The following is an 18,405-nucleotide window of genomic DNA, read 5'->3' as shown; positions in this document are numbered from 1 at the left end:
TATCATAACTGAAGAATACAACAGCTTCAAAGATGTCTTCAACACAGCTGTCTTGGAGCACAGGGTTGTGTGTGTACACTGGCTGTTAGGAGTGCTGTTGCTTAGATACCAAAGAGGCACATTATCTGGATGTTTCCACAGCTGTGTCCTCAACTAGCTTTTGGACCTCAGGCAAGTCTCTATCTTGCTGGAGGCCACTTTTCTCACCTTTCTTAATTCTCTTTATGTAAATCATTATCAAATATAGAAGCAGACATAGTCACACATCATGTCTCCTTTAACAGATCAACATTGAAAAGGAAGCCCAAGATCTCAAAAACAAAACAAAACAAAACAAAAACAAAAACAGAAACCAGCATATTGACAAACTATCTTATTAGGCATGATTTCCCCTTAGCTAATACTGCTGTTGTTCTTTCCTGCTCTATCTGACACTACCACCCTTAAGACATAGACCTCCCCAACTCCTCCGCAGCCTAAGTAAGCACTTCCTCATCCATGTTCTGATAAAAATTCATAAATAGCATAGTGTTTGGATTACCCAAAGCATAAAATAAACACACTTGAGTCTATAATATTACAATATAAATAAACGACTGAATAAATGAACAAATGGAGAGCAGAGACAAATCGTCCTTACAGAAGAATTTCAAATAATATAGAAGGTGCTTTTCCCTTCAACAAGTGGAATGTAATCTTTCTCCTCCATTCAAATGTGAGATGCACTTAATGACTCACTTCCAAAGAGCAGAGTATGGAAAGGGAAAATAGTGCACCTAGAGTAGAAAATCCTGGCGGATACCACCTTAATCAATGGTCAAGATTAACAGCACCAGTGATAAATCGCATTGATATCATGTACTCCCTGATATGATATAATAAGAAGGGTACTACACTTCGATCACATTCTTTCCTAAAACCTATATTCCTAGTCTATTCATAACCAAATGTAGAAAAGCCAAATTGAGGTGCAATCTATAAAATATCTGACCATCATTCCGCAAAATTGTCAAGTTTGTGAAAAACAAGGAAAGGCTGAGAAATACAGAGCAGGAGTCAGAAGAACTAAATTCAGTGGGCGATCCTAGAGTAGAAAAAGAACATTAATGGGAAATCTGGTGAAATTCAAATAAAGTAGAGAATGTAGTTAATAATATTGTACCAAAGTTAATTATTTAGTTTTGAAAAATGTACCATAGTTAATGTAAGATGTTACTATTATGGGAAGCTGTGTAAAGGGTATACCAGAAGTGTCTGTACTGCCTCTGCAATTTTTCTGTAAATTTAAAATTATTTAAAATAAAAAAGTTTATTTATTACTTATTAGATTGTAGCTCTGACTCAGACAGAGCAGTGTGTGGAGGCTCACATCATGAATTTTAGCTCCAGAACGACTGCAGGAATAAATTAGGAAATCCAAGAGGACCCACGGATCCTGTAAAGGAAACAAATTGCTCCTGCAGGACCCAGGAGACACCCCAAATACCGTGAGTGCCCATACTGTGGAAGTGGGAAAGGGGGATCCTCTGCCCCTGAACACACACCCCCACTGGGGAAAATGAAGGTCTAGTTTACAGGAGAATATTCTGGTCTTACCTGGAGCTGAGTCAACGTAGACAGCTGAGTGAAATACAGGAGTAGAGGAAGCAGCAGGAAAGGCCCTGTGAGCTTGCTGGGTCCCCAAGCAGGCCATTCCTGCCTGTCATCACAGGGATCCTTCAGGAGGGTGGCCAGAGGTGTGGGGAAAACGCCACAAGGAGAAGGAAATCCCCAGCTGAACTTTGTAACAATTTGAATGGGCGGAGAAGCCTCCTGGCCAGAACTTGGGGAGGGCACGAATCCTCCAGCATGCAGACTCCACAGGCAGGGAAAGAACTAAAGTCCTACTTTCTGTTGCAGCTGGGAGGTGGGTAGCCTGGGGCAAGTTCTCAGGCCTGCTTGCCCACTGCCTGGAAACAGGCTTGGTGCTGTTAGGGGGAGCATGGTGGAAGTGAGACCAGCCCTTTCGATTGCGTGGGAGCTGGGTGAGACCTGTGACTACTGACTTTCCCCAACTTCCCTGACAACCTGCACGACTCAGCAGAGGCATCCACAATCCTCCTAGGAACATAACTCCACTGACCTGGGAACCTCACCCCTATCCCCAGCAGCAGCTGCAGCAAGACCAGAGCGAGGAGAGTCTGAGTTCAGACACACCTAGCCCCACCCCCACATGATGGTCCTTGCCTACCCACCCTCGTAACTGAACACAAAGGGTATATACTCTTCGAAGTTCTAGGGCCCTGCCCACCACAAGTTCCTCTCTATACTACTGCAGCTGATACTCTCGGGAAAGTGCCACCTCTCAGCAGGAGGCCAACCAGACCAAAAATAGAGCCAAGTGGGGAAAAGTTGAAAGCATGCCCTCTGAGAACTGGAACAAGACAGAAAGTCAACAAAGAAACAATGGATTTAAACTATATCTTAGAACAAATGAACTTAACAAATGTATACACAATATTCCATTCAACAATCGCAGAATACACATTCTATTCAACAGCGCATGGAACTTTCTCCAGGACAGACTATATGATAGGCCATAAAATGAGCCAATAAACAGACCAATAGTTTTAATAGCCAATAAATAGGCCAATAAATTTTAAAAAATTGAAATTATATCAAGCACTCTCCCAGACCACAGTGAAATAAAACTGGAAATCAACTCTAAAAGGAACCTTTGAAACCATGCAAATACATAGAAATTAAATAACCTGCTCCTGAATGATCACTGGGTCAAAAACGAAATCAAGATGGAAATTTAAAAATTCTTCGAACTGAGCAACAATAGTGAGGCAACCTATCAAAACCTCTGGGATACAGCAAAGGGGGTGCTGAGGGGAAAGTTCATCACCCTAAATGCCTACATCAAAAATACTGAAAGAGTGCAAACTGACAATCTAAAGTCACTTCTCAAGGGATTAGATAAACCAAACCCAAACTCAGAAGAAGAAAGGAAATAACCAAGATCAGAGCAGAACTAAATGAAAATGAAACAAACAAGCAAAACAATACAAAAGATAAATGAAACAAAAAGCTGCTTCTTTGAAAAGATAAAGAAAATTGATAGACCATCAGCAAGATTAACCAAGAAAAGAGGAGAAAAACTCCAAATAACCTCAATAAGACACAAAACGGGAGCTATTACAACTGACACCACAGAAATAAAAAAGATAATTCAAGGCTACTATGGGCACCTGTATGTGCATAAACTGGAAAACCTAGGAGAGATGGATAAATTCCTCTCTAGTAGGAAAGATACAACACTCCTAGCTTAAATCAGGAAGAATTAGATAACCTGAACAATAACAAGCAGCAAGATTAAAATGGTAATCGAAAAATTACCAAATAAAAAACAGTCCAGGATGAGATGGATTCACAGTAGAATTCTACCAGACATTCAAAGAAGAAATGATACCAATCCTATTAACACTATTCCACAATATAGAGAAAGAGGACCCCCCCAATTCATCCACTTCATTCTGTGTAGCTGGCATCACCCTAATATCAAAACCAGGAAAGGACATAACCAAAAAAGAAAACAAGACTGATATCCTGATATCCTTGATGAACATAGATGCTAAAATCCTTAACAATATACTAGCTAACCAAATCCAACAACGTATCAAAAAGTTAATCTACCATGATCAATCGGGTTTCATACCAGGGATGCAGGGATGGTTTAACATATGCAAGTAAATAAATGTGATACACCACATAAAGAGAATTAAAAACAAATTTGTATGATCATCTCAATAGACGCAGAAAAAGCATTCGACAAAATCCCTCATCCCTTTATAATTAAAACTCTCAGCAAAATCGGCATAAAAGGGACATACCTCAATGTAATGAAAGTCATCTGTGACAAACCCATAGCCAATATAATACTGAATGGGGAAAAGTTGAAAACATTCCCTCTCAGAACTGGAACAAGACAAGGATGCCCCCTCTCACCACTCCTCTTCAACATAGTACTAGAAGTCCTAGACAGAGCAATCAGACAAGAGTAAGAAATAAAGGACATCCAAATCAGTAAAGAGGAAGTCAAACTGTCACTGTTTGCTGATGATATGAGTGTTTATCTCGAAAACCCTAAACACTCCTCTAGAAGGCTCCCAGAACTGATAAAAGAATTCAGTGGAGTTTCCAGATACAAAATTAATGGACACAAATCCATAGCTCTTCTATATACCAACAGCGACCAGACAGAAAATTGCATCAAGAACTCAACCCCTTTTACAATAGCTGCAAGAAAAGTAAAATACTTAGGATTATACTTAACTGAGGAGGTGAAAGACCTCTACAAGGAAAACTACAAAACACTGCTGAAAGAAATAATAGACAACAGAAACAAATGGAAACACATCCCATGCACATGGATGGGTAGAATCAATATTGTGAAAATGACCATTTTCACATGGTCAATCCCCATTTCACAGTGCAATCCCCATCAAAATACTACCATCATTCTTCACAGAATTAGAAAAAAAACACTAAAATTCATATGGAACCAAAAAAGAGCCCACATAGTCGAAGAGAGACTAAGTGAAAAGAACAAATCTGGAGGCATCACACTACCTGATTTCAAATTGTACTATAAGGCCATAGTCACCAAAACAGCATGGTACTGGTAGAAAAATAGGCATATAGACCAATGGAACAGAATAGAGAACCCAGAAATAAACCCAAATACTTACAGCCAACAGATCTTCAATAAAGCAAATAGAAACATAAAGTGGGGAAAGGACACCCTTTTCAACTAATGGTGCTGGGATAATTGGCTAGCCACATGTAGGAGAATGAAACTGGAACCTCATCTCTCACCTTATACAAAAATTAACTCAGGGTGGGCACCGTAGCTCACACCTGTAATCCCAGGATTTTGGGAGGCCGAGGCGGGTGGATCACCTCGGCCAGATTGATACCATCCTGGGTAACATGGTGAAACCCCATCTCTACTAAAAAAAAAAAAGAAAAAAAAATTAGCCAGGCATGGTGGCACGTACCTGTAATCCCAGCTACTCAGGAGGCTGAGGCAAAAGAATTGCTTGAACCCAGGAGGCGGAGGTTGCAGTAAGCCAAGACCATGCCACTGCACTCCAGCCTGCGTGACAGAGCGAGACTCAATCTCAAAAAAAAAAAAAAAAAAAAAAAAAAAATTCAACTGAAGATGGATTAAAGACTTAAATCTAAGACTTGAAACTATAAAAATTCTAGAAGATAACATTGGAAAAACCCTTCTAGTCATTGGCTTAGGCAAGGATTTCATGACCAAGAACCCAAAAGCAAATGCAATAAAAACAAAGATAAATAGCAGGGACTTAATTAAACTAAGGAGCTTTTGCACAACAATAGGAACAGTCAGCAGAGTAAACAGACAACCCACAGAATGGGAGAAAATATTCACAATCTATTCATCTGACAACTAATATCCAGAATCTACAATGAACTCAAATAAATCAGTAAGAAAAAAGCAAACCATCCCATCAAAAGTGGGCTAAAGACTTGTATAGACAATTCTCAAAAGAAGATATACAAATGGCCAACAAACATATGAAAAAATGCTCAACATCACTAATGATCAGGGAAATGCAAATCAAAAGCACAATGTGATACCACCTTACTCCTGCAAGAATTGCCATAATCAAAAATCAAAAAACAGTAGATGCTGGCATGGATGCGGTAATCAGGGAACACTTCTACACTGCTGGTGGGAATGTAAACTAGTACAACCACTACAGAAAACAGTGTGGAGATTCTTTAAAGAACTAAAAATAGAACTACAATTTCATCCAGCAATCCCACTACTGGGGATCTACCCAGAGGAAAAGAAGTCATTATTCAAAAAAGATACTTGCACATGCATGTTTATAGCAACACAATTCACAATTACAAAATTGTGGAACCAACCCAAATGCCTATCAATCAATTAATGGATAATGAAACTATGGTATATATATACAATGGAATACTACTCAGCCATAAAAAGGAATGAATTAATGGTATTTGCATGACCTGGATGAGATTGGAGACTATTATTCTAAGTGAAGTAACTCAGGAATGGAAAACCAAATATCATATGTTCTCACTGATACATGGGAGCTAAGCTATGAAGATGCAAAAGCATAAGAATGATACAATGGACTTTGGGGACTTGGGGGAAGGGTGGGTGGGGGGTGACGGATAAAAGATTACAAATAGGGTGTAGTGTATACTGTTCGAGTGATGGGTGCACCAAAATCTCACAAATCACCACTAAAGAATTTACTCATGTAACCCAACACCACCTGTACCACAATAACCCATGGAAAAAAATATAGGCTATATATAATTTATTAATTACTGAATACATAAGGAAACTCAGAGTTAGCTAAAATTAGTAAAACTAATGTTTTAGTATGAGGAATTATATTAAATAAGTTATATATTCATACAGTATATATACATTATATTGGATAATTATTAAATGCAATAGGGGATAGCCAAAAATATTTTCCATATTCTTTTTGATACTTAAAGCAATTACTATAGAATCAATATAAATTTTTTAATTTTAAACTCTTAATCACTATATGTTCCTTGCTTATCAATTTTTTTACCTCAAAAAATATTATTTTTGCATAAAATATATACTCAATAATTTAAAAATAAGAACTTATCAGAAAACGGCTAATTGATTTCATACTGAAATTGGTTTCTTATAATATCTGATGATTTCTCATTTAAAATGATGATTTTCATTGTTAATAAATGGGTAGCATTTAGGACTGGGTCCCAAAAATGTTTATGCAAAGCTCTATTATGGCACAGACTACCATATTGTGAATTTTTAAATAAATCTTTCTTCCATGCCAGTGAAAGAGTTTCTTGAGGATAGACAGAGATTGTATTCATATTTATCTCTTCCTTCATCCCCAGACTGAGCACAATGTCTGGCATCAGTGATCATTTTGAATAAATAAATCACATTAAGCATATTCTTCTGTATTCCTCTATTGTCTAAGATGGCCATTTTTTAGACAATAGACATGCCTTTGCATCATGACTACTGAGCTCACCCTAAGCTCAGAAGTATAACAGTGATGCTAGTGACTAAGGACACATTTTTGGCAGTTTACTTTTAAAACAGTGTATGGTACTGCAAAATTACAATGCAGGCCAGGCAAATGTAGGTTGTGAGTGTGACTTCATCAGGAAATCAGAGGACACAAGTCAGAGACCAAGAAACACCGTGAAGGGCAACTAACATATTTCACTTGGACAAGCGTTGGCTCAGTCGCTGGGACATCGTTCCCAGAGACTTAGTAAATGGGGAGGAAGCTGTGCTGGACCCTGGCCATCCTTCACACACGTTCTGCCTTGATGCTACCTGCCCTCTACCCCTTCCCTGCCATTACCTGTGTGAGTCCAGCTGTTCCCAGGATGGCTTTAATTAAAATAATATTGACCATTGAAACAAGTTATAATAGCAATTGTTTGTAGTGTTGATGGCCACAGAAAAGGAACAATTGAATGTAATCCTAATACATCAACCAGGAAAGAGACCAAAATGTAAGCTGAGGGAGTTGTTCTCTGTGGGTTTGTGAGATGGTGAGGATGGGTCAGCTTACTCATAGCAGGGAACAGTAAGGAAACAATCAAACACAAGCATGCTGGCTGGCAAGGCTGGGACACCCCTGCAGGCTCACAATTCTAACAAACGGTGTCTCTGTCAGGTGGAAGCCAGAGGTGTAGTATTAGAGGAAAAAAATAAAATTGGGTGCAAAACAGAGGACTTTAAAAGAGAGGTCGAGAGGGCAGAAAGGGCAGTGCACCTTTCTGGACTCTCCTCAGAAGATCTACACAAATGGACCTCCCTGGGTCTGTGGAGCACTGTGGACGTCCTCAGTGCACCCCCGTCCAGTTTGAATACATGCACGTCTCCCCATGAGCTTCTTCCAGCTCCCTCAACTGTCCATCTCCAGTCTTTACAGGGATTTCTCCTCCCATTCTCTCCTTAAGTGACCCCCAAACTCATCACGACATCTGTCCCTGCTGATAATTGTGAATAAGTAGATACTGCTATGTATATTCCTCTGGGTTCTTACAACTTGAATGGCAGCTTCTTAGATCAGAGCCTCTCTTTTCATCCAACTCACTCTCCAGGATCAGAGCCATCTCCACGCTGTGACTCTCAGATGAGCCAACCCTTCTCTTCCAAAACAGGCATAATTTTAGACTCATCACCTCTATGTTCCCCTAGAAATCAAGTGCCCACAGCTCCACACCTTTTACTGCAGTCACCCTCTATGTTCCTGTCATAGCATACAATTAAAAGCCCATATCTCTGTTACTTCATCTCTCCCAGTCCCTTCAGAGTCAAATGTATAGAAAGTCGTCTATACCCACCTCACTTTACGCTCACTTCTCAGTCACATGGAAACCATCTTGTATCCCCACCCCTCTACAGAAGCTGTTCTCCCCAAGTCACGAAAGATTTCCTTGCCTTGAAATGTAACGTAGGATTTTTAGTCCATAGCTGAACTTCATCTTGGCAGTGTTTTATATAACTGCTTCTTCCCTTGCCCTTTGTGGCATTCTCATTTTCCTGGCTTTCCTCTCACCTCTCTGGCCATTCCCTTTAGGCCTCCTTTGTTGCTTTCTATCCGCCCTTTAAATGTAGTTCTCATACTTCTCCTGGCACTTGTCTCTTCTCACTCTCTGCTCAAATGAACAATGTTTCCCTGAAACATTTTATCCTCTTTTATGAATGCATTTAGCCTCTGTATATATGGATTATTTCCAAACTCAGCACATTCCCCTCTCCTAAACTTCAGACCCATATAATACCACTGTGTAACTGAACATTGCTATGTGAACATCATATAGTAGCTCAAACACAACAATGGCAAAACTGAACCCACCAGCTCCTCCCCCAGCTTTCTTCCCCTGTTCCATCCTCTTGCCCATCTAGTTGCATGAGTCATGGTTTTAGGGCCATCCTGGGTTCCTCCTTCTCTCACAACTAGCACCTCTAAATAGGCACATATCCTTTTGTTTCCACTGTCCACAAATCCTTCAGATCCATCCAGTCATTTCATTCCCACTGCTAATTCCATTCTTTCTTGCCTGCCTGCCTCTAATAGCTTCTTATGTGATCGCACAGCCTGCAGTCTTCCCCCCACTCCAATCTAATTGGATCTATAGACATAAATCTCTTAAAATGTCAATACAATCATTGTCCTTTCCCATGTAAACCCCTCTGTGATTTTCCATTGTTCTTAACATAAAGAACACAGCTCCCAAGGGTCTTAGGTTATAGTCCATGTTGCACCTAAACTTTCCCCTTTCACTGCCCCATATTTTACGTTGCAGCAAAATTCTAGGAAATCACCTTCCAGGAAATTCTTTTAGTTTCGCTCAAGCAAGTCATGCTTATTGCCCCTCCCAGCCCTGCCAGATCTTTAACCTGGTTCCCACACTGCTCTCCAACACCTGCCATTGCTTTAGTGGACGGGTTCCTTCTTTCCTTTCAGGTTTCATCTTGGCTCTCATTCCCTGGGGTGATTCCCCTGGTTCCCCAGTCCTGGGTTTTGTCTTAGGTTAGCTTCCCAGAGAAGCAGCTTCTGAGACAAGGATTCCAATGCAACAGTTTATCTGGGAGGTGACCCCCAGGAAATGCCAGGTGAGGAGTGGAGAATGGAAGAGGAAAGAGAAGCAAGTGGATACAGGGTGTTTTCACACAGCTTACCACCATGGAAAATGGGGCTTTTTCCCACTGGAGACCTCAAAGAGAAGCATAGAGCCCTTCTCCAGAAGGGTGAGGAGGTTGAGGTATTTTCTCACTGACTCCCCGACATCACTGGTTGAGCTCAGCTCCCTGCTGCATGACTCCCTTGGCACTGCCTGCCTGCTCTACCTGCAGGTGGAGCCCCTTTCTGAGCCAGAGACAGCATCAGGAAGTCACTGGGGCCCGCAGCAGGAAAACATCAGCATATATGGGAGTGGGGAGGGCACCAGGGGCACCTACAGTCTGCTGTTATCGCACTTAATCACTGTTTATTAGAATTGCCTTTTGACTGTCTACCTCTAAGTCTTAGGACAGCCTTGCTTTATAAAAGAAGAATAAATAATAATGTTTGGGGGAAGTCAAGTGTAGACATGGAATGCAAGGCGGGTTGAAGCAGATAAAGACAAGCTGGTGTCAGCCGAAGTAAATACACAAGTGTAAGTGGTGAGCTTCAAAAGACAGTGACCTCAGAGGGACTGGAGAATTGGAGTGGAAGAGACTGTATTCATAAATGACACAATGACAGGACGTGGGGTGATCGCATTTAGGGAAGGAAAAGGAGGGAAGGTCAAAGATGAGTCTCCGATTTCTAGGCTGGAGGGATGGAATCACATGGAAAGCAGTGAAGCTTGGAATCTGGTTTCCATTGCAGCTCCTGCTAACCTCCTGCTGGGCACTCTCAGGGTGATCCCCAACACTGGAAAACCTCTGTTTTCTCATGGTTTTCATAAAGAGACTAGAATATATTTTTAAATCTCTGTATGTCTTTAACATGCTATCATCCTGGGTTACTCATAGCAATTGGAAACTCACATTACTAAATAGAGTGCTGGACCATTCTCATTGAAAAACTTGCCTCTAGTACTGATTTAGGCTAGCGGCCTGGGATTCCTTTACATACCTGTGCGACGCTACCCAATGGGAAATGTGCCAAAAACATTACAATGAGCATAAAAGTGCCAATGCTTAGAAGTTCTTTCCTTAATTAAAATTAGAGCTAGTTTTAGAGCTCCTTATAACAACATTACTCTCTGCCCATTATTTATTCATTGGCTGTCTTGAACTATATGTCCTTGTAAGATTCAGAACATTTTTCCCTTTCACTTTCTGTAATAGTTATCAGTGAAGAGCTGTAGGGTAAACACACCTGATAGCAATAACTTGAGCATACCCTCAGAATGACCCTGTATGGGAGATGAGATGCACCTGAATGTGTGTTCGGAGCTAGGGAATCTGAGGGTGGTCAACCTGGAGATTCGTTCATTGCCTATGTGTGACATCTGAGCCCCGGGTCCATCCCATGAAACATGAGCCATCCAGGGGATTGAGACCCTGAGTCTCAATCTTGGGTTAAATGAAGATTCCCAGGCCAGGTGTGGTGGCTCACGTCTGTAATCCCAGCACTTTGGGAGGCCGAGGCGGGCGGATTGCCTGAGGTCAGGAGCTTGAGACCAGTCTTGCCAACATAGTGAAATCCTGTCTCTACTAAGAGTACAAAAAAATTAGCCAGGCTTGGTGGCGTGTGCCTGTAATCCCAGCTACTTGGGAGGCTGAGGCAGGGGAATTGCTTGAACCAGGAAGTTGGAGGTTGCAGTGAGCTGAGATCGCTCCACTGCACTCCAGCCTGGGTGACAAAGAGAGACTCCATCTCAAAAAAACAAAAAAAATGAAGATTGCCAGGTGCAGTTCATTAAGGGGAGGGAGTTGAATGAAAATGCTGTATAAACTGCATGGTTTTTGCAACCAGTTACCGTTCTCATGTCCAGCCTGCCACCACTAAGCCATGAGAATATCTTGTCCAGCCTGCAGACCCTGGACTCTCTCCCCTGGATGTAAGCCCCTAATAATACCCTATGTATTGTTTGCTGGGTCTGGGTCTCTTCTTTGGCCTGTTGAACCTGGTGCCTTACCCACTGAGGTTAGTGGGGGTTGGTGCAGCAATGGCTTAATGCATATTTGCAGCAAAGCATGATGTCATGGTTTACTTTAGAAGAAAATGGTTAGAAGCAAAGGAAACTTGTTTAGAAACCCATACCATGGAAGCCTACTTCTTTCCTGCATCTGCCACAGTGACTGGTAGGTTCTTGGATCCTGACATTATTACCAAACCCATCAGATCCCCAACATAGCCAAATTAGTGAGGGCTCCTAAGTCGGGTCTTCTCAATTTCTAATTCCTTGATTAAAATTCATCTCGATCTTCTCTTTATCACTTTGGCCAATGTTCCAAAGTGGAAGTATCTGTACAAGTTTCCCATCAGCTCAAAAAGGGGTAGAGATTCCAGCTCCACCGGCAAGGACTCTGTCGCTTGGGGCACATTCCCCCACTGTCCAATCTCTTCTGCCTTATAGGGTTGTTCTGGAAATTAAACCTGATGATACTAGAATGGCATTAAGAATATGTATGAATTTTCATTCATAGTACAACATCTTCCTTATATTGGCTTTCCCAGAAATAGAGCCTGAAGTAGGGGCTTGGGAACAAGCAGCTTATTTGGGAGATGATCTCAGGAAGCACCCATGCAGGAGTGGGGAAGTGAGACAGGGAAAGGCAATCCAGGATGCATGAATGAGCAGGCCACATCTGTGACAACCGGGCCTCAGTCCTGATGGGGACTTCTGAAGAACCAGGTGGAACATGCCTGAAAATCGTCTCATCTCATGTGTGAGGGAGCTGCATTTTTATTTTCCAAGTCCTGTCCCTCTCTGCTTGAGAGCTGTTCCCCAGGGCACTAACTCTTCAGCACTTCTGACCTGGCTCGCAGCTGAAGTTAGTGGTCTGAGCGCATCTCAGATGTGAGCACACCTAAGCAAGACCTCAACGGAGCCCCAGGGGCCCGCGGCAGGAAGCAGTGGAGCTCGTGGGAGGGTGAGCATCTCCGGCTACTGCTCTCAGTCTGAGTGAGCAGCCGAATCATCTGCAGGGCTGGCAAACACACAGACGGCAGGGCCTCTATTTCAGGATCTTATCCAAGAGGTTTGGGGAGAGGCCAAAGTCTGCACTTCTCACAAGTTCCCAGGAGATGTTGATGTGCTGCTGGTCGAAGGACCACATTTGAGCAACACTGGCCTAGTAGAAAACAGTAAGGCTTCAGTGGTGTCTGCTACAGAAAGCTTACTAGTACAATCTTCAGAGCAAGAAGTCTGCAATTGCGGATGGTGAATGAAACTCGGAGAGGAGGGGATCGTGGAACAAGAAAAAAGTGGGAAGTGACCACACACAGCATCTCTTTTCTCTCACTCTTAGAGAACATGATTTCTTGGCAGAGTGGATAAGCTGTAAGTTTCCATTCCTGAGTGTCATCTTCACTTATAATGGAGTTTTTAAAAATCATGCTGGATCTGGTAGACATAGTGGTCTTAATGTTTTCCAATAGCCACATGTATAAAGAACAAGGGTCTCAAGTGTGGCACACTTTTATGGGTGTGTCCAGATTTCGACAAAAATCTCTCAAACTTTGTGAACAGATAAAGCACTATAATACTTGTAATCACCATCTTATTCATAGTAAGAGTGCAAGAATATTTCTAAAAGTGCCTCAGCAGGAAAGGAAATTGGTCAGTGTTTATTCATGATACTGCTGATTCCACCCTCCCACCCACTCATGCAAGCCTGAAGGAAGGCCCTGGCAAGGTCAGGCTCTAAGGGTCTGGTAGCATGACTTCCAGCAAGGGCTGGGCAAATGGCCTTCACACCAGGCCGGCAGCTCTGAATTGAGGAATGTCCTTGACTCAAACTGTGCAAGGTGATGGAGTCTGTTGAAGTCTTGGGTGCTGTGCCCTCATCATCACCTCTCATGCATCACTGCTGGTGATGTGTGGAACTTGGCCTGGATTCAGTGGTCTCCATCCTGCGTCCAGGCAAGATGGCTTCCTGGGTTGCTTTGGCCTTGTGCATGCGGCAGGGTCAGGAGGCCCCTTGAGTTTCCAAAACCGCCCTCACCTACAATCGTGTGTCTATTGGGGGTAGGGGAGGACCAGAAGATTGTACTTCCATTTGTCATGGAGAATATTTTTGCTGGGAGTCCCAGCAGTCCAACTCCTCTCTGTGAGTGGTAAGGTGCCCTCTGTGGTCTCTGTGTCCTTTGAGCCTATTCTTCAGGCTCTCTAAATCAGGACAATATGTTATCTATGGTTTTCCAATGCTCCTTCAGCTGGAAACGATTCTTCAGAGCCTGAGTCATCCATTCAAATAACCCAATGTTTGTGAAACCCATTCGTATAATTGCTGGTCTTAATTATGAACATTTCTGGATCATCAGGGAAGAATTAAATCTTCTTCAGCTGAAAAAGAGTGTTTAATATAGTTACATTTACAGTGTGCAATTAATCAGAAAGCCCAGTTAGCCAGCATGCCATACCCCCCACCATTAAAGACAGGAAGGAGGTGAATACGCAGAGTGAGTTGGAGGCGTGGAAAATGAAGCCAGTTCCACAATCTTTCCTTAGATTAGGTGCGGTGGCTCACGCCTGTAATCCCAGCACTTTGGGAGGTCGAGATGGGCGGATCACAAGGTCAAGAGTTGGAGACCAGCCTGGCCAACATGGTGAAACCTTGTCTCTACTAAGAATACAAAAATTAGCCGGGTGTGGTCGTGTGTGCCTGTAATACCAGCTACCTGGGAGGCTGAGGCAGGAGAATCGCTTGAACACCGGAGGTGGAGGTTGCAGTGAGCTGAGATGGCATCACTGCATTCCAGCCAGGGTGACAGAGCAAGACTCCATCTCTTAAAAAAAAAAAAAAAAAAAAATTGTCCTTATTGTTCTCATGAAAATTATTTTTATCTGAGCACAAATGTTTCCAAATTTCAAACAAGAAACAATTCTTTAATTTTTACAGTGGCTGAGAAATCAATGTTTATAGCTTATAGCAGAATTCTGCCAGCCACTGCTGCTTCTGATACACAAGGAAAAACAGATTACTGAAGGAGATCTTTATTTCCTTTCAATCAGTCTACATTATTTTAGGAGACAACAGAAAGATGAAGTAAGTCTAACATCAAAGGAAAAAACAGATGAGGATTTTGTGTTGTCTTACTTAAGGTCATTTCAAACTGTCCCACTTGAATCCTGACCTGTGTCTTTAGTACTGACCACACATTTCCAAAATTTGAAATTTTGCTTTAGAGAAAAATTTAGTTTTGTAAGAAAGCCTGGGTTTTCTTTCCTTCTTCCCTCACATTTCTTTTAGTTTATTTTCTTTAATTTATAAAAGACAACCCATCTTCTTAACTCTCTTATGGGAGTGGGTGGGCAGTCTTGGCAACTAAAACATTGTGTTAAAAATCAAGAAAAGAGAAAAAATGCCAGAAAAGAGTTTTACACTGCAATGAATTAGATAGTTAAGGCAATTACAGCCTGAAAGACCCAAACACCCAAGATTGATGTCTTATCATCCTTTAGAAAGTTAAAAACAGAATTAGTGTGCCTTTGGCAAAAAAAGAAAACAATATATATCTTACATCAAGAACACAGGCAAAAAAAAAAAACCAAACAAACAAACACTTTTTTGAGTATTCTTTTAAATAAAAGAGGAAAAAAAAGTATATTAAGTAATAGAAACCCCTTGTTTGTGGTGATGGTTTCACAGGTGTCTGTATTTGCCCAAACTTGCCAAATTGTGTGCATTAAATACATGCAGATTTTGTATATCATTCATACCTCAGCAAAGGTGTTCAAAAAGTATTAGACAAGTATTATCACTTCTATTTTGACGAGACATGGCCTTCTGGCTCTAGTCATTTACTTGTTTATTTTTCTTTCCAGCTTTTAGGTTTGAAGTACCTGTGCAGTATTGTTACATGGGTAAATTGTATATAGCAGGGGTTTGGTACACAGATTATTTTGTCACCCAGATAAAGAGCACAAGTATTCAAGAGGCAGTTTTTCAATATTCACCCTTTTCCCACCTTCTATCCTCAAGTAGGCCCTGGCCCCAGTGTCTGTTCTTTTTCTCTTCTTTGTGTCCCTGTTACTCAATGTTTAACTCCCACTTATAAATGAGAACATGTGGTATTTGGTTTTTCTGCTCCTACGTTAGTTCACTTAGGATAATGGCCTCCAGCTGCATCCATATTACAGCAAAGAACATGATCTCATTCTTTTTTATGGCTCTGTAGTATTCCATGGTGTGCCACATTTTGTTTATTCAGTCTACCATTGATGGGCATTTAGTTTGATTTTATGTCTTTGCTGTTGTGAATAGTGCTGGAATGAACATATGTGTGCATGTGTCTTTATGACAGAACAACTTATATACCTTTGGGTATATTATATACCCAATAATGGGATTTCTGGGTCAAATGATAATTCTGTTTTACATTCTTTGAGAAATTGACACACTGCTTTTCACAATGGCTGAACTATCTTACATTCCCACCAACAGTGTATAAGCATTCCCTTTTCTCCCCAGCCTCACCAGCATTTGTTAGTTTTTGACTTTTTAATAGCAGCCATTCTGTCTGGTGTGGGATGGTATCTCATTGTGGTTTTGGTTTGCATTTCTCTAATAATTAGTGATGTTGAGCTTTTTTTCATGCTTGTTGGCCATATGTACATCTTCTTTTGAGAAGTGTCTGCTTAGGTTCTTTGCCCACATTTTAATGGGGTTGTTTTGTCTGATTCTGTGAAAGATATCTTTGGTAGTTTTGTATGAATAGCTTAGAATCTGTAAATTGCCGTAGGCAGTATGGTCACTTTGGCAGTGCTGATTCTTCCTATCCACGAGCACAGAATGCCTTCCCATTTGTTTGTGTCATCTCTGATTTCTTTCAGCTGTGTTTTGTAATTCTTATTGTAGAGATCTTCCACCTCCATGGTAAGCTGTATTCCTAGGTATTTGTATTCTCTTTGTGGCAATTGTGAATGAGACTGGTTCTTGATTTGGCTGTCAGCTTGGTATATAGAAATGCTGCTGGGTTTTGTTTATTGATTTTGTATTCTAAAACTTTGCTGAATTTGATTATCAGATCTAGTAGTCTTTGGGCAGAGACTATTGGATTTTCTAGGTATAGAATCATATTGTCTACAAACAGAGACAGTTTGACTGCCTTCTTTCCTATTTAGATGCCTTTTATTTATTTCTCTTGCCTGATTGCTATGACTAAGACTTGCAGTGCTATGTTGAATATGAATGGTGAGAATAGGCATCTTTGTCTTGTTCCAGTTCTCAAGAGAAATGCCTCCAACTTTTGCCCATTTAGTATGATGTTGACTGTGGGTTTGCCATAAATAGCTCTTATTATTTGGAAGTATATACCTTTGATGCCCAGTTTGTTGAAGGTTTTTAACATGACAGGATGCTGAATTTTATTAAAATCTTTTTCTGCATCTATTGAAATGATCAGGTGGTTTTTGTTTTTAGTTCTGTTTATGTGATGAATCACATTTGTTGACTTGCATATGTTGAACCAACCTTGCATTCCATGAATAAAGCCTACTTGATTGTGGGGGTTTAGCTTTTTGATGTGTGCTGGATTCAGTTTACTAATATTTTGTTGAGGATTTTTGCATCTATTTTTATCAGGGATATTGGCCTGAAGTTTTCTTTTTTCATTGTGTCTCTGCCAGGTTTTGATATCAGAATGATACTGGCCCCATAGAATAAGTTAGGGAGTAGTCTCTACTTCTCAATTTTTTTGGAATAGCTTCAATAGAATTGATACCAACTCTTATTTATGCTTCTGGTAGAATTTTGTTATGAATCCATCTGGTCTAGGGATTTTTCTGATTGGTAGGCTTTTTATCACTGATTCAATTTTGGAACTCACTGTTGGTATGTTCATAGTTTTAATGTCTTTCTGATTCAATCTTGGGAGGTTGTATGTTTCTAGGAATTTATCCATTCTGGTGGGTTTTTTAGTTTGTGTGCATAGAAGTGTTCATAATAGTCTCTGATGATTTTCTATTTCCATAGGGTTGGTGGCAATGTCCCCTTTGTCATTTATGATTACTTATTAGAATCTTCTCTTTTTGTTTTTCTTTATTAGTCTAGCTTGCAGTCTATCAATATTATTTACTCTTTTATAGAACCAACTTTTGGTTTTGTTGATCTTTTGTATAGTTTTCACCTCTCAATTTTGTTCAGCTCAGCTCTGATTTTGATTATTTCTTTATTTCTGCTAGGTTTAGGGTTGGTTTACTCTTGTTTCTCTAGTTCCTTTAGGTGTGATTTTAGGTTGTTAATTTGAAATCTTTCTAACTTTTTGATGTGGGCACTTAGCACTATAAACTTTCCTTTTAACATTGCTTTAGTTATGCCTCAGAGATTCTGGCATGTTTTATCATTGTTTTCATTAGTTTCAAATAATTTCATGATTTTGGCCTTAATTTCATTGTTACCCAAAAGTCATTCAGGAACAGGTTGTTTAATTTCCATGTAATTGTATGGTTTTGAGAGATCTTCTTGGTATGGATTTCTGCTTTTATGGTGCTATTGTCTAAAAGTGTGGTTTGTATGAGTTTGGTTTTTTTGAATGTATTGGTGGATCTAGCTATTTAGTAGGTAAGCAAACAACTCACAGGACACTAGCAGTCTGCTTCCTCTGTAAGACCAAGCTTGTGCTCTTGAAGGTATCATCTTGTTTCAACCACACAGTAGCC

The 18,405-nt window shown here is 40.7% G+C and overlaps 1 long non-coding RNA gene across 1 annotated transcript in view; it reads right to left on the bottom strand.

Annotated features, from left to right (window-relative positions):
• LOC107985449 (uncharacterized) overlaps positions 1–1,877 on the bottom strand; it is a 57,505-nt gene extending 55,628 nt beyond the window's left edge. The window contains exon 1 of the long non-coding RNA XR_001754537.2: positions 1,597–1,877. This is a non-coding gene — a long non-coding RNA (uncharacterized LOC107985449). The remainder of the gene's footprint in view (positions 1–1,596) is intronic.
• Positions 1,878–18,405: the final 16,528 nt, after the last annotated feature.

Source organism: Homo sapiens, chromosome 20, assembly GCF_000001405.40.
Source record: "Homo sapiens chromosome 20, GRCh38.p14 Primary Assembly".
In the NCBI taxonomy this organism is placed as follows: domain Eukaryota; kingdom Metazoa; phylum Chordata; class Mammalia; order Primates; family Hominidae; genus Homo; species Homo sapiens.
This window is presented reverse-complemented; position numbering and strand designations above follow the sequence as displayed.